General features: G+C 41.4%; 1 pseudogene, besides 1 other annotated feature; it reads right to left on the bottom strand.

Moving 5' to 3' along the window:
• Window positions 1–7361: 7361 nt before the first annotated feature.
• WASF4P (WASP family member 4, pseudogene) lies at window positions 7362–11748 on the bottom strand (annotated as a pseudogene).
• Window positions 7853–8483: an enhancer, noted in NCBI's record as "H3K27ac-H3K4me1 hESC enhancer chrX:47665811-47666441 (GRCh37/hg19 assembly coordinates)". NCBI's record gives its function as "activates a minimal SCP1, AML or CMV promoter by ChIP-STARR-seq in primed H9 embryonic stem cells {active_cell/tissue: H9 hESC(primed)}" and the evidence as "EXISTENCE:reporter gene assay evidence [ECO:0000049][PMID:30033119]".

Here is a 22254-nt window from a genome sequence, read left to right as displayed (position 1 = left end):
TCCATTGCTTTATTCTCTCATCTCTTTCTTCCCCTCTCTCCCCCTACCTCATGCCACCCTTGCAGAAGGCAGCCAGGTGATATCTTCCTCTGTTTATTTTCGGCCTGCTTAATATGAGTGTGTATGTGTGTGTTTATGCATATGTACATGTATTTTGTTATGTATTGTGGTCACAAGGAACCAAATTCCTTAGAGTTAAGACGTACTCATAAATTAAGTAAAATCTTTAATAAATAAGCTGGCTTTACATTATTGGTAAAATAATATTATAAATATCTTAAGAATTGTCAACATACATTTTCATTTGAGTTTATTGATCAAGCGGTTTCATATTTATCTCTGCCAGATATCATTAGGTGCCAAAATTTGGCATAAGAGTTACAAAACTATAAACCCAGCCCAAGACAGAATGATCTTTGTGTAATTTTTGATAAGACATTTAATATTGTTTGAGGAAAATAGCTAAACCTTCTGAGTTATCAACAAAATGCCTATGTGTTTTAACTTTAAGGTTCTTACTTAGATGAACACATGATGTTCACAAGCTTTAAAATGGTTAACAGGGAATTAACTTTCAATAATGACTACCTCTGTGGTAAGATCTCAGTTTTCAGAAGTAATCTAAGTAAACGGTTAAAAATGGGAGAATTATATGCATATAAATGAGATAAATGCTTCTAAGTAAAACTTTTTTGTATGATTTAAGTTCTTAAAATCATTGTAGATGCTTGTTGAATGTCTGGGTCATTTCCAACTAAGAAAGGGTTATTATATAGGAAACATGTTCCAAAATTATGGACTGGTTCTCATTTATAAAATGGTAATATCTGATAGGCAGTTCAGAACTTCTTGCTTCTGGCTGCTGTGCCAATGGAGTAGCCATTCTTTATCCCTTTATTTTCTCAATAAACTTTCACTTTACTCTGTGGACTCGCCCTGAATTCTTTCTTGTGTGAGATCCAAGAACCCTCTTTTGGGGTCTGGATTGGGACCCCTTTCCACTAACATCTTCCTGGTGAACCACAAAGGGACTCTACTGAGGAGACCCCCTGATCCAGAGGAAATAGACTGCAGCACCAACTGGCTGATTTTGGGTAAGTGGTGGGGTATATTTTACCTGGGTAAAGGGTGGGATTGAGTTAGAGGCCCAACTTAGGATAGACTCTCCTAAGATAGAGAGGGTTAAAGGCCCATCTTAATAAAAGGCAAGGCTTCTTGACCAAACTTGGGTCTCAGGCCCAATTTAGGAAGGTTAGAGTCCTTCCTAAGATTTAGAGGGTTAAAGGCCCCTCTCAGTAAAGTCCCTCTTGGTTAAAAATGAATTTGGCATTATGGATTAATGCCACCGCTATTCTCTTCGGATTAATCTGTCTTATACTCTTTGCTGACGACTGTGGGTGACAGGATTAGGCATATACAAGACCGTGGAACATGGGGAACTTTTTCCTTCCCAAAAGGGGAAACTTGAGAGCTGATGGGACTGCTGGAAAAGATCCCTTCACAACTGACAAGTGGCCATTTGAACTTTTGATTCAGTGTTGCTTCAATGAGTAGGTCTTTCTCTGGCCTCCCTGAGCTCTTCACCTTCCCCACCGCAGGGAATGCTTTCTCTCTCTCTCTCTCTTTTTTTTTTTTTTTTTTGAGACGGAGTCTTGCTCTGTGGCCAGGTGGAGTGCAATGGCGCGATCTCGGCTCACTGCAACCTCTGCCTCCCGGGTTCAAGTGATTCTCCTGCCTCAGTCTCCCAAGCAGCTGGGACTACAGGTGTGCGCATCATGCCCAGCTAGTTTTTTTGTATTTTTAGTAGAGACGGGGTTTCATCATGTTGGCCAGGATGGTCTCAATCTCTTCCTCGTGACCCACCAGCCTCGGCCTCCCAACGTGCTGGGATTACAGGTGTGAGCCACTGTGCCTGGCCCTCTCTCTCTTTCTCTCCTTTCCCTTTCCTATATTTTCTGTTACTCAGAGCAACCATCCTGCCCAAAGACCACATGTTGAAACTCCTGGTTGTAGACCTGTGAAACAAACAAAAAAAACTGGATGAAGTTTCCCTCTCATCTTGTTTTATGTCCTTGGGAGCTTGACTTTGTAACCAGGTGGGTGGTACTTTCTCTTGGTCTCCACCATCAAGGGAACAGGAATTTTGGAGTTCATGTTATAGTTAGCCTTAAAAATTATCCAGAGCAGTTAAAAACCTTTGCAAGCTCAAAATTGGCTGACTCTAGATTCCTAGGAAGAGCAATGAAAACTGCTCAGTGCTGTAGCTCAGTAGCTAAGGCTTTGCCATTTTACAGTGGTAGCCCAGGCTCTCAATTCCCGGTCTAGGGAATGAGTACTTTTTGGTTGATATCTGTGTGACCTTTGCCACTTGTTGATTCTCTTCCTCTCCATGAACAACTTCTGACTTCCCTCTTGAATTTTCCTTTCTCTGAGCACCTGGGAAGTTATCTTTGGTAAAGTTCAAAAGCCAGAAATATTGACCATTTTTCTTGGCTAAAAGTTGGATAATAAGAAATTTTAAAAGACTTTTTTAAAAAGAGCACTATGGTTAAAAGTCAGCTTAATTAAAAGTGGATATTCAAGCTATGGGTATATTGAAAAGGCCTTTATGGTTTTTTCTCAAATCTTGTTTTTCTTGAGAAAAAGTTTTTCTTTTCAGTCAACTGAAAAGTCATTTTTCTCCATTTTGTTTTCTTGCCACTCTTGATGCATACATGAGAGGACCTAAGAAAATTTCTAACAGGCTGGGACTCTTTGGGGAAAACAGAGGAGGTGCCACACACGCTGTTTGGGGAAAAACCTCTGTTTTCCTCATGAAACCCCAGGAATTGAAAGTGGATAGATCTCTCCCAAAATCTAAGGCCCTGTTCTGTTTTACATTGTGTTGTCTGATGTTTTTGACATTTGGGGGTATCAGAAATTACTTCGCATTATGAGAGAACTTTGGTGTCTAATTACTAAGTAGGAAATATACTTTTAGGGCTGGCTAATGGCAGTTATGGGCTTTTATGGGAGATGGACTGATTCCCTCCTCTTTGGGATCTAAGATCTGGTATAAAAATGGGACCCTTAATTTTGGGGGATCTGTTTTGCCTTCCAGCTGTGCCTGCTTACTAGGCCCTTGAAACTGAATGGTTTCCTGGCCCTGTTCCTCAAAGGGCTCTACCCTGAAGCCAGTAATCCAATTGAGAAACAAAAACTGGCAAATGAAAAATCTTACAACTACAGAATCTTCTGACTGTTTGTGTATTTATATGTGTTGTGTGTGTGTGTGATGTGTGATCAAATATTTTGTTAGAAAAATAAAAACTGTAATGCCTTTTAGTTCACATAACTTTAGTAATCTTTGAGAAATAAAGATAGTTTTAAAGATTATTGGTAAAATAAAAATGTCTTCAAAATTTAGACATTTGGTCTAAATTAGGCAGGTCAGATATTAGGTTTGATGAATGCTTTAAGGTCATAAGTTATTTCTTTGACTTTTGAAAATTGTTCAACTTACCTGCTTTAGAGCCATTAGTTTCTACATAAGGCCTGGGGACATGTGGAGTTAGCCATAACCCCTAGCAATGCTGAAAAGAGTCAGACTTTATCTGCACTTCTGTCTGGTGTCCTAAGCCCCACACCTAGTACATAATTAAAATTGCTTACTTACTAAGTTTTTCACCAAAAATAAAAGTTACTAAGAGTTAATATTGTAACATGTAATTGAAACTACTGAGGAAACAGTTTTACATGCAAGGTGTGTAAGGAAAGTAAAATGTGTTTTTGGTAAAAGATTATAAGAAGGCATGGGAATGTGGATTTTTTTTTTTTTTTGCCTAGATTAAAGGGTTAAAGTCTTGTTTTAAGTTTGATAGGAAAAAGCTAAACTTTTGAGCAACTTATGGAAGGTTTATGAAGGATTAATCTTGTAAAAGAAATTCTATGTGTGAACACTGGCTAAAGTTAAAGGGGTATTCAGTTTTTTCATAAGTTGAACATTGGAATAAAAGCACAATAGGTTTTTCTTAGAGCACTGATCTGTTCTTTAACAAAAATCTGTAAAGGGTTATAAAAAGTTTATGAGACTCTTACCTTACGGTCAGGCATGAAAATTGGATAGATTTGTCTATAAGGTTTTATTAAGAATTGGGGTTGACATTAATAGCACACCAATGCAAAGGGTGAAATTGTCTTTCTCTCTTGAACAAGATTTTCATGTTATATTAAAAATATTGAAAGATTCTTGTTTGCCTTTTGAATAAATTATAGTAAAAAGAGAGGAAAGGAAAGAAACAGATTGTTTGGAAAACTAAGTCTTCCCTGTATTAATGAGTAAAGGTTTTATTTATTTATTTATTTATTTATAATAAATATGTTATTGGTATGTGTTCCAAAATTATGGAACCTCAAGAGGAGAGGAATTTACCTGACTCGTATAGGCATTTGACAGTACAAACCCATGGCTGGGGCTCAGCTTTAAAAAAGGTCTTATCTGAGATTCTTTATGGAACGAAGTTTCATCAAAGCCAATTTTTAAAAAGCCTATGTGAAAATAATTATTCTTGCTGCACTTTATACAAATAAACAGGCCAAGTATAAGACTAAAGCTGATTTTATAAACAAATTAGCCCTATTATGATTTGTTTTTAATAAAAATGAAGACTGGAAAGAGAAAAATTATGTTTCAAGAACTATGGCACACCTGTTATTAGATTCTAGTCTCATCAGTTGTTTTTGTTTTTTTTTTTCCTGCAATTTAGACTAACCCTACTTATTCCTGTGAATCAACCAGTGATCTTTAACTGGAGCTCAGAAGAAACAAGAGGGATGGGTACTGTAGAAATCTGGATCAATATTCTAATTCTGGGCACATATTGGAATTGGCTAGCAACCCCATATCAGTTTGGTCCCAACAGCTGCCCAGTTCATTGAATGCCTTATTTTTTTCATTTACTTAGAATAATTTTGCTTATTTTACTTTACTGTTGTGGAATATATTCCTGCTGTATTCTGTGTAGAAATGCTGGATAGGTAAGCTTACTCAATGTTTTCTTAAATTGAACACATACCAATCTTCCAGATATCACCTTTGATCAGAAGTCGGAGTTATGAATGGCCCTCAGTGTAATGATGTTTTCTCACTGAGCTCCTCTCTACCCTGGATACAAGACACCCCAGTAGTTAGGCAGGAATGTCATCGCCCTGTTTGGCCTGAAAATTACAGAAGATGGATCTTTGTCCCTCTACAATTGCTAGGATTAAGGGTTCCCTTGTAAAAGGGAGGGGGGAATATGTCAGAGGTGTTCGAACCAGAGTAACTCCATCTTGAATAGGGGCTGGGTAAAATAAGGCTGAGACCTACTGGGCTGCATTCCCAGGAGGTTAGGCATTCTTATCTCACAGGATGAAATAAAATGTCCACACAAGATTCAGATCACAAAGACCCTGCTGATAAAACAGCATACAGTAAAGAAGCCAGTCAAAACCCACCAAAACCAAGATGGCAGCGAAAGTGACCTCTGGTAATCCTCAGTGCTCATTATACGCTAATTATAATCCATTAGCATGCTAAAAAACACTTCCACCGGTGCCTTGACAGTTTACAAATGCCATGGCAATGTCTGGAAGTTACCCTATATGGTCTAAAAAGAGGAGGACCCCTCAGTTCTGGGAAATCCCCACCCCTTTCCCAGAAAACTCATGAATAATCCACCCGTTGTTTAGCATATGATATGGTTTGGCTCTGTGTCCCCACCCAAATTTTATCTCTAATTGTAATCCCCATAATTCCCACCTGTCAAGGGAGGGACCTGGTGGGAGGTGACAGGATCATGGGGGCAGTTTCCCCCATGCTGTTCTCGTGGTAGTGAGTGAGTTCTCACAGGATCTGATGGTTCTATAAGTGACGGTTTCCCCTGCTCTTTTCTCCCATGCCATCTTGTGAAGAAGGTGCCTGCTTCCCCTTCTGCCATAATTATACATTTCCTGAGGCCTCTCCAGCCACGCAAAACTGAGTCAATTAAACCTCTTTCCTTTATAAATCACCCAGTCTCAGGGAAGTTCTTTTATAGCAGTGTGAAAACGGATTAATACAGCATATAATCAAGAAATAACTATAAATATACTCAGTCGAGCAGCCCATGCCACTGCTCTTACCCATGAAGTAGCCATTCTTTATTCCTTTACGTTTTTTTTTTTTTTGTGGCTACAAAGACTTTATCAAATTATTTAAAATGTTGGCATTTAAGTATTCATGTGTATACAGTTACATGGAACCTTCAGGTCAGTGGGGCACAAATGTGGTATACACACAATGAGCCTGGCAGGGAAGCAAATGAGACCAGGCTTGGAGCTACAGGGCTTTAAAAAAATTGGATGTCTTTCGGAGGGTCTGAGAAGAATAGGGCAGAAGAGGAAAGGGTCACTTTAGGGGTCTGGCTTAACCCACTGCCCAGATCTCCAACTGAAGAGTTCCTTTCCCTTCCTCAGGGGAAGAGGGCCTGTTTTCAAACGGCATCCCTACTACACATACACCCCTTCCCTAAAATCTTGTTGTGGCAAACACACCCAAGAACCCACTGGAATACGTCCTTATAAATACGTTTGTATCAGAGAAAACAAGGCACTTTGGGAGCATTATGGCTTACTCTACTACATGTACATCATTCTAGACAGAAGGTAAAAATTGGTTAGTTCCTCAAGTTAATTAACTGGATAAACTTAATACAATGACAAAATTATTCCCTAACCCACACTGAGGCACAGTTAAAGTGAACACGGCAGGAGGCACAGAATGAGGCACATCTCTGTGCGACACCTGGTGCCAGGTCAGCTGGACCCCAGCAGAACTCAAAGCCTGATGCCTCCAGGAAGTCTGACATCTCTCAGGAGCAAAGTCCCCTGGCCTTGGGGAACTGGCTCCCTCCCTCCCCATGCCCTGAGGTCAGGTGAGGGGCCGCAGTGGGAGGCAGTCCTAGAGCAGAGCTGGGACCCGGTGGGAATGCTTAAGCAGAGTCAGCAAAGCCACAGAGACCTCAGTCTGTCCAAGCTGGTGCTGCAGAGTCGGAGGATCAGCGCCACGGGAAGAGATTTCACATTAGCCCTGACAACACCGCCTCGGCTCTGCGGTGACATTGGCCAGGGTTGTTTCTGACAGCGCTCGGGCTTCCACTGGAGGCGAGCTGGAGCCTGGGCCAGCTGCTCTGAGCCTCCAAGGGCTGGCTAAGCCTGCCCCCTCCCCCGGGCTGCTCCTTTAGAATGTACCCATCTCACAACCAAGGCAAAGCCACAAGTCACTTCTGACACTATTGGAAGCTGGGCCCCAGGGCCATAGGAATGGGAGCAGGTCCCCTGGGCGGGGTGAACCAGGAAGGGAGGAGGCCCCCTGGCTTCACCGCTTAGGAGTCATTATGGGCCATTGTTCCACACTCTCACTAGCTTAGGCCCAGATTAAATAATCACTAAATTTAGCATTCTACATTACATGAGTCCAAAAACAGGATTACCTGCATTGGGTCCTTTATCATCTTAAAGGGCTCTGGGTCTAAAGAAGCCTTTTTTTTTTTTTTTTTTTTTTGGTGCATATGCATAAGTGGAGCCCAGAGGGCCTCCCAGCTCACTGGGTCCCCGGCCCCCCGAGCTGAGGAGGCTTCGCAAGGCCGGCTGTGACAAAGTGCTGAGCTTGGCTGCATAGATTTTAATGAGAGCATCAGGCAGAGCTTTGCTGTTGCTCTCCGGGACTTGCAGATCATTACCAAACCAACTGTAGGATGAGAACACAGCACATCGAAACCCTAGGAGGTCACTGAGCTAATGATCTAATCCTACCTTCCGCAGGCAGTGCCCCTCCCCACCTCCTCCTGCCCCCAGCCCTTTCCACGATGGACTCAGTCCATTCCAGAAGCCAGGCCAACACCGCCCCCTTCAAGGTCAGAGCAGAATGACAGTGAGTGGCTCTAGCTCTCCCTTTTCCAGAAAGGAGGAGGATGGGGGTAATTCAGTCAAAGCCATTAGGCCCAAACCCTGGCCTGGCCAGGCCCCAGGTCTCCTATTTGGGAGAACCACTGCCCTCTGCCTGCCTCTCCAGCTACTGCTGGGCTGCGGCCCAGGCGCCTTCAACGGCCATTTTAGGATTCTGATGAAAGCACCTTCGGCTTCCAAGGTACAGGCTGGGAAACAAGGTGGGGGCCCACATAGCCTGGTGTCTCAGCATGGAGCTTGGTGCCAAGTCCTGTGCTAGAGACACCTGATCTGGAGAGAGGGAAGAGGGCACACTTGGGAGTGGCCACAGCAGGAGGGCCTGCTGGCCCCTACAGGCTCAGTCCCCACACCCTGAGTTCCAGGAAAGAAGGCAAAGGGGAAGCGGCCAGCAAGGGCACAGAGGCAGAACTCATGACTATACACTGTCTCCTCAAGCCGGAGGGCTTTACGAGGGCTTTGGCAATTACTACAACCATTTGCTGTGCTGGGTAGGGACAGATCCTGTTTCTCTTTGTTTCAGGGCTCTGAAAGCCAGATAAGCCGGCAGAAGCCAATTTCAGCATAAGAGGCTACACAATAGTTAGGGCAGAAGAGAAGAAACCTCACTGTTGGTTAGAGCTGACCAGTTTTTTTCTGAATAATAGCACCTGTGTATTAGCTCTGGGAAAAGTGGGGAGGGAGGGAGCTTCACCATGTGCAGTGAGGGGAGCTGGAAACAGGACCTGGAGCCCCTCTGCCTTTCAGCCTGCTTCACGACTGCCAGGCCCCCCCAGGCAGGTACCAGCACAGCTGCCAGCCTGAGGGACTGAAGTTTCCACAGTTGGCAGAATCTTTGTTTAAATTGGGGAAATAAAAGGGGGAGGAGTTGCAGAGGAATTGAAAACAGCACCTGTCAAAGCTGCCTATCCCCTTCCTTCTCTCACTACTTCTGGTCCCCCAGAGGGGCTGGTCCCAAGGCTATGTGGTTGGTTGGTGACAGAAAAGGGGCAACAAAGAATGACAAGAGAGGCTATGAAGGTCTGAGCAGCACTGACAGGGCTGGCACAGACCCTGAGCCCTCCTACTGGGACCCCAACCTATGATGAGGTCTGGAGTAGCAATACAGCCAAGAAAGCTCTGCCAAGACTCCAGCAGGTGCCCATTCTTTGGTCCCAGAAAGCACAGGTGACTTGGAATCAGGAACTCTGGGCTCTAGCTATGTCACTATCCAATTGTGTGACCTTGAGCAAGTCACTTCCCATCTCTAGGCCTCAGCATCCTTAAAGGGTGGGACCCACGGGGCTCCACTGTTCTTCCAGTCCTGCAGCTCCAAGTCTTCAGGCTTTGCTCCTGACAGCCAGAAGAGGCCCCTGTCCTTATGTGTCAGGGATAGTTTGGTCATGGATACTAGAGGTTAAAACTGGGCCGTGTTGCCTGAAGGCATGTAGAGGTGGTGCTGGTGCATCCTGAACACCACACTCACCAAAGGGATCCTGGGAGGGAAGCAACAACACCAGCCTACAGAAGAGCATCATTTTTGGGCAGAGGAGATGAGACATTCTTTAGAGGCTTAATGTCTCCTGGAATAAAGGGAATCCCAGGCATAGAGATCGCTTAGCAAAAGGCAGGCCCACCCTGCTGATTAGGGCAGAGGGTGAGGCAGTTTGGCCGTTGGAGCCTTAGGCCTGCTCTGCCCTTTCAGTGTACGGGAAAGGGGCCAGCTGTGTCCATTCAGGCCACTCCCTCTGCTTTAGAACCAGAAGGTGGCTGGCATTATTCGAAGTGGCTGAGGGCACAGGTTTTAGAAGACTGTAGTTGAATATGGCTCCTAAGGGAAGGCCCCATCTCCAACGGAAACCCAATCAAAGGAATCTGCTTTGGGATTTCTCCTTCCTTTAAACATGCAACAGGCACTTGAAGGAAAGAGGGAACATCCCAGCTACTGAATCTCAGGAGCCCCACAGGGCCTGACAATGGGAAGAGGAAATACATGTGACTTGGAGGAAGCACTTGGATATAGCTTTGGTTGCTTCAGGGAAAGCTTCGGCCCCTTAAAATTAGGTTTTTCCTCCCTTTTCTCCCCTATGGGTCTGTTGGGGTTGGCATCAAAGAAGGCAAGTAGGAAGGAAAGAAAAAGAAGGTGGGCATCAGGCAGAAAGAGTTAATTAGACCAGTCGTCCCCATCAAATTCAGAGGAGTCATCTTCTGAGTCACTGTACTCAACAGCAATGCGACGAGACAAGATGGTGGCCACGTCATTGCCCACGACATCCCACTTCTCTTGTTCCTGCTGCTCCTCAACCCTGCGCAGCTGAAAACCTTGACAGATGGCTGAAAGCAGGTCGCTATGGGCATCGCTTATGGCAGGCAAGGAGGACTTGGGCTTGGTGGTGTCAGAAAGCGGTGGTGGTACAGCAGGCTGGCCATCTGCACCAGTGAAAGGGGGAGGAGGGGGCCCCGGAGGAGGAGGAGGGGGAGGAGGAGGTGCTCCTCTTGTTGGCTGGGACAAGGGAGGTGGTGGGAGAGTTGGGTAGTCAGCTGCCGGTGGTGGAGGAAGAGGTGGAGGGGCAGCAAAATCAGGGTGAGGTGGGAAAGATGGGCTTGAGGGTGGTGGAGGCGTCCCTGGAGACCCAAATCCTATAGGCGGTGGTGGAGGTGGGATGCCTATCATTGGAGGCGGGGGTGGTGGAGGGGCAGGTGGTGGAGCAAACCCGGGTTTAGAGCTTGGTGGAGAGCCTAGAGGAGGAGCTGGTGGTGGATGGCTTGGGCTGACCACACTGGATCTTTTGGGTCCAGCCAAACCAGATCCTCTTTGGTTGTCCACTGGGTAACTGAATTCTGCTGGTGGAGGAGGCAAGTTGTCCTCGGAGAAGGAAGGAGAAGGTGAAGAAGCAGAGTCTGACTGTGATGGTGGTGGATAGCTACTTGCATCCACGTTTTCAACACAGCCAATGCTGCCATTCTGGTACACCAAGGTGGGTGGATACCCAAAAGGCCCCAGCTTTTCTTTGGACTCCACAAATTCTTGCCCCATCTTAATTTTCTCCCACTCTTCCTTACGTGTCTTGATTTTACGTGGGTTTACATTCCCTCGATTTGGATTATCTTTCTTTTCTTTCCTGTGCTTTCTCTTCTCTTTCATGATATCCCTGGTGTCCTGCAGCATCTTCTTCTTCCAAAGATCAAAGAAGTATGAAGGGTCTGTGTAGAATTTGAGTGCCTCTGTTCCATCGTCCCTGTAAGGGGTAAGATTGTTGAGAGGGGGAGGAGTATCACAGGTATTGTATGTTTCTAAGACAGGCACTGGGAGAGAGTTTCTGTCAAAAAGCTTCTGGTCTTGAATGGTGGAGCTTCTGAAGGCTTTTCGGGTGTTGATTACTTGCAGTGACACTTCTTCTTCCTTGGGATCCAGCTGAGTGACTTTAACTTGTAGTCCATCGACCCTCTCAGCAAGGGAGCTTACCGGAGAGGCAAAGGTATTTGCCTGAGTAAAGAGCTCTCCAAAAATGTCCTCTGCATATTTACTCAGGCTGCCCAGCTGTCGGATGACATTTGCCAGGGTGATGTTGGTCACGCATTCCAGCTCGCTTCTAACGCTAGGCAACGTCTGACGGCACAGGTGCCTTGGCTCGATGTTCCTCGTTACTAACGGCACGGTGGACCTGCTTCAGGCAATGTTCTGAATGATGAAAAACAACCTGGCCTCCCGCAGTCACCGTCAGCGACAGCAAGGGCAGGCTGGCCGCCCAGTCTCTGCACAGAGTGTGCTCCCGCGGACCGCCTCGCGGGCTGCCACACAGCCGGCTATTCCTTTACTTTCTTAATAAAATTGCTTTCACTTTTTCAAAAAAAGAATTTCTTGCTTCCTAGTTTTATAGAAAATGTGACAAGGAAAATATGTTCTTATTGACAAAAAAAAATTTTGTCTAATTCAAAAGTTATTTAAAAGCTAATTCAAATTATGGACTTAAAAAGGTTATTGTATCCATGTAAGTTTCTGTATTGTCTTTAAAGTCCTTGCGCCGTTAAGTTACAGGGCTTTGACTCTTGAGACTAAAAAGGACACATGATTGTGTTATATCTAGTCTAAATTTTCTTGAATAGTTAAAATCATTTGCAAGCTCAAAAATGACTGCTCTAGACTCCTGGGAAGAAGCAGTAGTCGTCACCTTGTGCAATAGTTCAGGAGCTAAGATTCTGGCCTTTCACACTGGCAGCCTGGGTTCAATTCCCAGCTTAGGTAATTAGTCCTTTCCCATTCGCTATGTGTGTGACTTTTTGCCATTTATTGGTTCTTTTCCCTTCCATGGACAGCTTCTGATTTCCTGTCTTGAAATTTTCTTTTCTCTGAGCTACCTTTGGAGCAATTCTAGATCTTGTAAAAACCGCTTGCTGTCTCATTGAAGATACTTCATGCACCTGTGGTAAAGTCATACCGTTAGTTAAGGCTTATTGATTTCATGTAGGAGGTAAAAGAATTCAAAAGCCAGAAATATTGGCCATTTCTCTTGACTAAAATCTAGTAATAAAATATTTTAAAATGATTCTCCTTTGGAGAGCTCTGTAGTTCGAAATCAACTTAATTAAGGCTGATATTTGCACTATATGTGCATGGATATTGTTTTAAAGCCCCTGCTCTGCCTCTAAAACCTCCTCAGTTGATGGATATCTGTCTAATTCTGCACCTGCTCCTGTCTGTTCCTCCTTCCTCTTGCATCTAATCTTTTGTCACCCTACCAAATCATCTCCATATCTGTGTATTTATATATGATGTGTGTGATGTTTCGCTACCAGAATATATGATAGTGGTCTAATTTATTGGCTTAAGAATGATAAGCACTTAAATAAAATATTTTGTCAGAAAAATAGACTTTAATGCCTTTTAAGTCACAATGTCTCTAACAATCTTTGAAAAATAAAGACAGCTTAAAGATTATTGGTAAAGTAAAATAAAAATATCTTCAAAATTTAGATATTTGGTCTAAATTGGGGGGATCGGATACTGTTTGCTAGATGTTTTAAGGTCATAAACTGCTTCTACGACTTTTAGTAATTGCTTGACTTGCCTGTTTTACAGCAATTAGATCCTAGGTAAGGCCTGGGGACATATGAAGTTAGCCAGGCCCCCTGGCTAGGCTGGGAAGTCATGTGTTCTGCAATCTTATACATGGTTAAAATTGCTTACTCGCCAGGTTTTCACCAACAATAAAAGTTGCTAAGAGTTAACATTGTAATATGTACTTGCGACTACTGGAAAAATAGTTTTACATGCAAGGTGTGTAAGGAAAGTAGAATGTGTTTTTGGTAAAAGATTATAAGAAGGCATGAAAACATGGTTTTTGTTAAAGGGAATGTAATTTTGTCTTGTTCAGAGGTTAAGATTGTCCTAACATAGAGGAGTAATGGGACAAAACTGAAAGTTTAAGCAAGTTGTGAAGAATTTGTGAAGGGTGGATCTTATAAACGAAGTTCAGTGGGTATAAGCAAGTTGCCTAAGATTTGAAAGGGATGATTTAGTTTTTTTGTGGGTTGAACATTGAAATGAAAGCACACTGATGCAGGGCCGGAATCTGGGCCCCTGTGTCTGAGTAACAGGGTTTTCTTAGAGAATTGATCTGCTGTTTAATAGAAAGCTGTAAAGGATTATAAAAGGTTTCTGGAAATTTTACCTTATAGTCAAACTAATTAAGATTGGATAGATTTTGTTTATAAGGTTTTATTAAGAATTGGGTTTAACATTAATAGTACACTAATGCAAACAAAGGTGAAATTTAGCTTTCTCTTTTGAACAAGATTTGCATGTAATATTAAAAGATAGTGAAATATTTTTGTTTACCTTTGGAATAAATGACAGAAAAAAGCGAGAGGAGAGGAGACAGATTCAACTGGCCTCATGCATCTTTATTGGGTCCTGTTTGGAAAGCTGTTTCCCCTCTATTAATGAGTACAGATTTTTCCCTTTTATTAATGGTGACCTAGAATTTTATTTTATAATACTAAGTGTTTAAACCTTTGATATTTGACAAACTTTCCACAGTCAGATTTTAAATTAAGCCCCCTTTTTTGATCTGGTTAACACTTTTAGATATTGGGTCCCCTAAAGTCCAATAGGGACATATTCAGCTTGTTCTGTATATTAAAATCATACAGGAAGTATTGTCAAGTACAAAATGGTTTTCAGATCTCTTTGGGTTGTATTTGTATAAATGTGTTATTGGTGTGTGTTCCAAAATTGTATATGATTCTTGCAATTCTGTTATGTCTCAGTATATAAGTAATAATTATAATTGTTATATTAAATTGCTGCATGCCACAGAGATGTTCAGACTTTAATCATGGTTATTCTAAGACTTTTGTCATCCACAATTGTTTTACTTTGATTATTTTCAAACGATTTTGTAATCAGCTATAGGACTCTGAGAGCTGCTCTTGAATGCAGGTTTCTGATAACTTCAGAGATTGTGGCATCAGAATAGAGGCAAAACTTCCAAGACTCCCATAGAGAGCTAATGTGTTCATGAATATTGAGTGGAACAGGACTTAATTACATAGACTGAACCAACAGAAGACCAAAATCTTTTTATGGCATTTTGTTTAAAACATTGCTAACTCTTGTTTTTCAGAATCCAGAAAAACTTTTTCTTTTGAGCTATTTGCAGCTTTTAACAATTGCATAAAGTACACTCCTGTGAGCAAAACTTGAAACACATTTCTTTCCCTCTACTTGCTTTCTCCAGAATTTTAAAACCATTTGTTAGTATACTTAAGTTATTTGCATAAGTTCAATAAGAATCTGTTTTCTTATCTAACAAGACACAACTGGAGATACTGGTTACTTTACCAAGGCTTTGGTTGGAATGGCACACTTTCATACTGCTTTAAGGAATCAAAGTTGACTTATAAAGCCCATAAAAGCCCCTTGGAAAAACTGGCCTCATGCATTGTCTATGCAGTCCCTGTATAGGGTTTTTGACCTGTGGTAAGTAAAGAATGTCATTCTCTGACAGGCCTAGGAGCTCCAAGTTATCTTGGGACCTGAAGTGAGGAATTCACCCAAATCATACAAGTATTGCAGGCACAGATGAATCCATGGCTGGGCTCAAGGCTTTGAAAGTCTAATCCAAGATTCCTTATGGAATAAAGTTCCAGCAAAGCCAATTTTCAAAAGAGCCTATATGACAAATAATTATTCCTGCTGACTTTATGCAAACACTTAGGCCAAGAATAGTAAGACTAAAATTTATTTTGCAAATACATTTGTCCTACTGTGATTTGTCTTTAGTAAAAACAGGGACTGGAGAGAGAAAAAGTATGTTTTGGAAAAAAATGTAGTACACTTATTGTTAGATTCTAGTTTTGTTCACTGTTGTTGAGTTTTTATTATTTTCTACAATTTGGAGTGAATCCTAAATTATTTCCGGGCTATGAGTCCCCAAACTAATGTTTTCCAATTTTTTCTTTTACTTTTCTGACTTGGATTCAATGAAATTGCTAGTACCTTTTTCCTGAAGCCCTGCAAGCTGCAGCTTATTCCTTGTAACATAGGTGAGAAAAAAGTGTCAGATTGCCTCTTCCTTCCTCCTCTATAATTAAGATCCTGGAGTCTAACATCTGAATAAATTGTGCCCAACATTAATCTTTGTTTTTCTTCTGTTTCCATAGAAATGCCTCTTATTAAAAATTTGTTTGTCTCCATCAGAGGCAGAGGCCTAGCCCATCTGTAATGCCGCCTCCTGGATGAGACACAGCTATTTAAGCTGATCCAGTCTCAAGAACTGGACAGGGCTTATCACTACTTTCATGAGTATTCATAGCTCTCTCTGTAGCCTGTTAAATATATATACTTAGCCAACCTATCATCATATCTGGTTGTGATTGGCAGTGGGGAAACTGCTTTATAATTAAGAATTCAGGAAATGCCTCAGATAGCCCCACAAGACATGCACCAACAAATCAAAGCTATGTCTGGCCACACATTGTCTCTAGACTAATGCTTAGCATCCTGATTCAGGTCAGGACAATTCTAATGGCAAAAGTTGCTTATAACATTAACCTGGACCGCAGGGATAGGCATATCCCTCTGTTGTGGAGTTTACTGCTGTTGTACCCTCTGTGTGGGAATATAAGGCAGGCTTTCCCAGAGACCTTATGGATGTTGCACCATAATGCTCCAGACAATATCATCTGTAAGTCTGGGTACTCATGAGTATTTCCAAATCCAAATAGATCAGTTCCATTCTGACTTCCAATGTCTATGTCCCCTTTCAGCAGCTTATCCAGAGACCTGCGTGTTTCAGTGGACTGTATAATGTAGTTGATGGAGGAGAGGGGGGATGTGGAGGGTTCAGCCCCATGGCCTAGAGGAGAAGGGAGGCAGCTCCCTGCTGATTCTAGACTCTGCAAGGTATCCCCTCACTTGTACATCCTCACTTCCCCAACTCTGACTTCATAGATCCCTTTTCTTCTCTACAAAAGAACCAGAAAAGACCTGGTCTCTGCTAAGTCATCATTTGTTTCTTTGTTTAGTTATTGCTTCCATTTACCATTGGATTTAGGAGGTTTATAATAATCAGAATAGTAACATGAATACATGTGAATCTATAATATGATCAGGGAAAACACAGACAATGTTGACACAGTCAACAACAGAGCATCAGTGGACTGTAAATATTCATGCAGTGTTGAATGAATTTTAGTAACATAGATACGAAACAGGTTCACTGTGCACTGATTACCAACTTCTCTGAGTCCAGTGGGACAGAACATCCACACACACACAAGTTACATGAATCAGGTTTATTACTTACAGACAGGCAGCAAGGGACAATGGAAGCCTAGGAATCATTATGAGCGGGTCCCCTGAGGCTCAGGAAAGCTGCCAGAGAAGGAAGGAGTCTTGTCTGTGTATGCCTCACTTGCCCCACAGCTGAGGGACCCCAGAAAGCAACTCACCCTGGGTTTTGTACCCTGGGGGATACATGACTTGCTGTCCTGGAGAACTGAAGGACATCTTGTTTCTAGGCATGACTGGAACAGAGCCCCAGCTGTTCCAGCCAGTCCCTGCCTATTTCAAGATGTTGCCTTCCCAGAATGTTCTACAGTTATCTTGAGAACTGCAAGTGAGAAAAGAGGGAGAACCGGGTCAGTCCAAGACCACCCAGAGAAGTGTCCTGCAATAGTTATTAAAATTAAACTATAAAGTTGTGTTCTTTGTGGCAGATATAGAATGAAAGAAATATAAGCAATTATATAATTTACATTTAATTGTCACAAGGACAATGTGACAATTCCTCTATAGTAAAGACTCTCTGGATGGAGTTTTCAAAAGATTTTTGATAAATCTTCATATAAATTGATACATGGGGGTTCTGTTCATAATTATGCTATAACAACTAGTCACAGAACCCTATTATTAGGCTGACTATATGTTCAATATATGACTATATATTGACTAATATATAATGTTGTTATTTATAGCAATATAATAACTCTGGGTGGCCTTAGACTGACCCGGTTCTCCCTCTTTTCTCACTTGCAGTTCTCAAGATAACTGTAGAACATTCTGGGAAGGCAACATCTTGAAATAGGCAGGGACTGGCTGGAACACTGGGGCTCTGTTCCAGTCATGCCTAGAAACAAGATGTCCTTCAATTCTCCAGGACAGCAAGTCATGTATCCCCCAGGGTATAAATAACACTGTTATTTATAGCAACTCCATCACGTGTATAGTAGTAGTATGGCAGTCCCCCCTTATCCTCTGGGGATATGTTCCAAGGCCCCCAGTAAATGCTTGAAACCATGGATAGTACTGATTCCTACATATCCTGTGCATGAATGTCCTTTTCCTTCTTCACAATTTCATGGAAAATTCATTCTTACTGTAGATCTTAACAACCTCAGCATACAAGTTTTTTCTTTTATTAAGTCAAGAACTTTCACTTTTTCACTTACAAGAAGTACTTTATGGCTTCTCTTTGGCATATCCAAATTGACACCATCACTACTTTTGCACTTCAGGGCCATTATAAAGTAAAATAAGGGTGACTTGAAAACAAGCACTGTGATTCCACGGGAGTTGATTTGATAACTGACATGGCTACTAAGTGACTAACAGGCAGATAGGGTATACAGCATGGATGCACTGGACACAGGGATGATTCATGTCCCAGTCAGGATGGAGTGGGATGGTATAAGATTTCATCAACGTACTCAGAACAGTGCAAAATTTAAAACTCATGAATTGTTTATTTTTGGAATGTTCTATTTAATATTTTTGGACAGTGATTGGCCATGGGTAACTGAAACCACAGAAAATGAAACCATGGATAAGGGGAGACTACTGTATTGTGTTTGCTTCTGCTATCTTCTAGAGCAGGACTTGGCAAGCTTTGTCTGCAGGGCCAGATAATAAATATTTTAGGCTTTGTGTGTCATATGGTCTCTGTAGCAACTACTCAGTTCGGCTGTTGTAGCATGAGAGCAGCCATAGACTGTGTGTAAACAAATGAGGGTGGCTGCCTACCTCTGTTCTAGAGCATTCTTCAGAGGCAGCAAAAGGCCTAGGGTCAAAGCAAATCTCAGCAAATGTATTATAACAAGCAACCAAGAGTATTTGAGGACACACCTTTCTGATGGCCTGATTTCACACAAAGAGAAAAAGTTAAATTATATGTTCAGTGGAGGGACTGAATGCATTTCAGTGACATGTAATAGTTTTCTTGGGCAGCTGTCTTAGTTCAGGCTGCCATAACAAAATGCCATAGACTGATGGCTTAAATAACAAACATTTATTTATCACAGTTCTGGAGGCTAGGAAGTTCAAGATCAAGGTGCTGGCAAATCTTTGGCTGGTGAGGGCCCTCTTCCTGGTTTGCAGATGGTCATCTTGTTGTATCCTCACATGGCTGAGAGAGAGAAAGAGATCATCTCTCTCGTGTCTTTTCTTATATGGGCAGTAATCCCATTTATAAAGGCTCTGACCTTATGACATAATTACCTCCAAAAGGACCCACCTTCTAATACCATCACATTGGGGGTTAAGATTTCAACATATGAATTTTGGGGGAACAAACTTTCAGTCTATAACAGCAGTCTTTTGACACTGCTTGAGCCACAGATAGATCAAAATTATAAGGGGAATTAGTTACATATATAATTTTTAGTACAATTTTAGACCGTATGGGAGCTCATTCTGTGTTCATTTCCTCCTTTTTTCTTAAAAACTGTCTATTTTTTTCATATTACAGAACTTATCCATGTGTAATTTATAATATTCAAGCTACTCAGAAACACAAAAATAGTATAATGAACCCCCTTGTATCCATCATCAATATACAACAGTTATCAATAGTTATGGGCATACGACCAATCTTGTTTTATCTACTACTGCTGGGTTATTTTAAAGAAAATCACTGAAGTAATATCATTTCTTCCTTACTTTCTTTAGTATGTATCCCTGCTTAACTACAATGCCATTATCACACTGAAAATATTAACAGTATTAAGAAAATAATTTCTTAATATTATCTGTTCCTACACTGTGTATAAATTTCCTCTCTTAGACCACTTTGTGTTGCTATAACAGAAAACCACAGACTGGATAATTTATAAAGAAAATAAATTTACTTCTTACAGTTCTAGAGGCTGAGAAGTCCAAGGTCTGGCTGGGCGTGGTGGCTCACGCCTGTAATCCCAGCACTTTGGGAGGCCGAGGCGGGTGGATCACCTGAGGTCAGGAGTTCAAGATCAGCCTGGCTGACATGGCGAAACCCCATCTCTACTAAAAATACAGAAATTAGCTGGGCATGGTGGTGGGCACCTATAATCCCAGCTACTCAGGAGGCTGAGGTGAGAGAATCACTGGAACCCAGGAGGCAGAGGTTGCAGCGAGCCAAGATCATGCCATTGCACTCCAGCCCAGGCACCAAAAGGGGAACTCTGTCTCAAAAAAAAAAAAAAAAAAGAAGAAGAAGAGGTCCAAGGTCAAGGGGCCACATCTGCTGAGAGACTTCTGCTGCATCATAACATGGCAGAAGGCATCGCATGGCAAAAGAGCATGTGTGTGTGAGAGAGGAAGGGGACCAAACTCATCCTTTTTATCAGGAACCCACTCCCACAATAACAACATTAATCCATTCATGAAGGCAGAGCTGTCATGACCTAATCACCTCTTAAAAGCCCTACCTCTCAATACTTTTGCATTGGAGATTAAGTTTCTAACATATGAACTTTGGGGGACACATTCAAACCATAGCATTTCCTTAATAGTCTCATAAGTGTCCTTTTAGTTTAAATTTAAATAAGAATATTGATGTTGATACTATATACTGTTCTTTTTCAGATTCCCTGTTTTACTTGTACTTATTTGTGTATTTAGTTTTGTACAATTTTATCACATGTATAAGTTTTTATATCCTCCACCACAGTGAAGATACAGAACAGTTCTGTCACCATAACGATCCTCATTGTTGCGATTTTATAACCATAACTATCTTCTCTTCTTACCCCTTTGTCTTAAAACCCCTGGCAACAACTAATCTAGTCTCTATTTCTAAAATTTCATCATTTCAAAAATGTTATATAAATGGAATCATGTGCAGATGGTCTCTGGCTTACAATGTTTTGACTTAAAATTATTTAACTTTTCCATGGTGCAAAAGTGATAAACATGCAGTAGAAACTGTACTTCAAGTATCCATACAACCATTCCGTTTTTTCACATTCAGTTCAGTATTTAATAAATTACATGAAATATTCAATGCTTTATTATAACATAAGCTTCTTGCTAGATTATGTTGTCCAACTGTGCTAATATAAGTATTCTATGCACATTTAAGGTAGGCTAGGCTAAGCTATGATGTTCAGTAGGTTAGGTGTGTTAAATGCATTTTTGAATTATCGTATTTTCAACTTAGGATGGATTTATCAGGATGTATGTCGAGTAGCATCTGTAGTATGTAACCTTTTGGGATTGGCTCTTTTCACCTAGCATAATTCCCTGGAGATTCATTCATTCATTGAATGAATTCAATGAATGAATGAATGAATGAATGAAAAGCTGTTGCAGGTATCAATAGTTCATTCCTTTTCATTGCTCAGTAGTATTCCATAGTATGGGTGTACATGTTTGTTTAACCATTCACCTGTTGAAGGATAACTGGTTGATTCCAGTTTGGAGCTATTACAGATAAAGTTGATATGACCATTTGTGTACAGGTTTTTGTGTGAACGCAAGTTTCATTTATTTTTCTGAGAGAAACAGCCAAGAGTGCAGTTGCTGGGTTTATGGTAATTTCATGTTTAGTTTTATAAGAACTGCCAAAGTCTTTTCTAGACTGACTGTGGTACTTTACAGTTTACACTGCCACCAGCAATGCTTGAATAATCCAGTTTTTCCACACCCTCACCAGCATTTGACATTGTCACCACTTTTCATTTTGCCATTCTGATAGGTGTCTCACTGTGTTTTTAATTTGCATTTCCCTAATGTCTACTGATGTGGAACATCTTTTCATGTGCTTATTTGTCATCTCTATATGCTCTTTGGCAAAATGTCTATTCATATATTTTGCCCATTTTCTAATGGATTGTCTGGATTTTTACCATGGAGTTTTGAGGTTCTTTATATATTCTAGATGTCAGTCTTTTGTCAGATATGTGGTTTCCAAATATTTTCTCCCTGTCTATAGCTTGTCTTTCATTCTCTTCACATGATCTTTCACAGAGCAAAAGTTTTTAATTTTGATGAAGTCCAATAAAAGTTTTATTGTTTTATGTTTTATATTTAAGTTCATGATCCATTTTGAATTATATTTTGTATAAGGTGTGAGGTTTATGTTGAGGTTATTTACTTGCTTACAATGTCTAATTGCACCAACACCACTTGTTGAAAAGCCTGTACTTCTTCCATTGAACTGTTTTTACATCTTCCTCAAAAATCAGTTGAGGCTGGGTGCAGTGGCTTATGCCTGTAATCCCACCACTTTGGGAGACTGAGGCAAGAGGGGATCATTTGAGCCCAGGAAGGCAAGGCTGCAGTGGGCTGTGATCATGGCACTGCAATCCAGCCTGGGCGACAGAATGAGACCCTGTCTCAAAAAAAAAAAAAAAAAAAAAAAGTCAGTTGGGCATATTTGATGAATGCCTTTTTAAAAAAATGAGTTGGGATTCAAACAAGGGCCACACATTGCATTTGTGAGATATAGTTCTTAAATTTATGTTACTCTATAAAAGATTAGCTTCACATTTTCCCTTGCTATTTATTTGTTAAAGAAACTGGGTCATTTGTTCTGTAGAATGTCCCATATTCTG

This window comes from Homo sapiens, chromosome X, assembly GCF_000001405.40.
Source record: "Homo sapiens chromosome X, GRCh38.p14 Primary Assembly".
In the NCBI taxonomy this organism is placed as follows: Eukaryota; Metazoa; Chordata; class Mammalia; order Primates; family Hominidae; genus Homo; species Homo sapiens.
The sequence above is the reverse complement of the archived record's forward strand: the minus strand, read 5'-3'. Positions and strand labels throughout refer to the sequence as shown.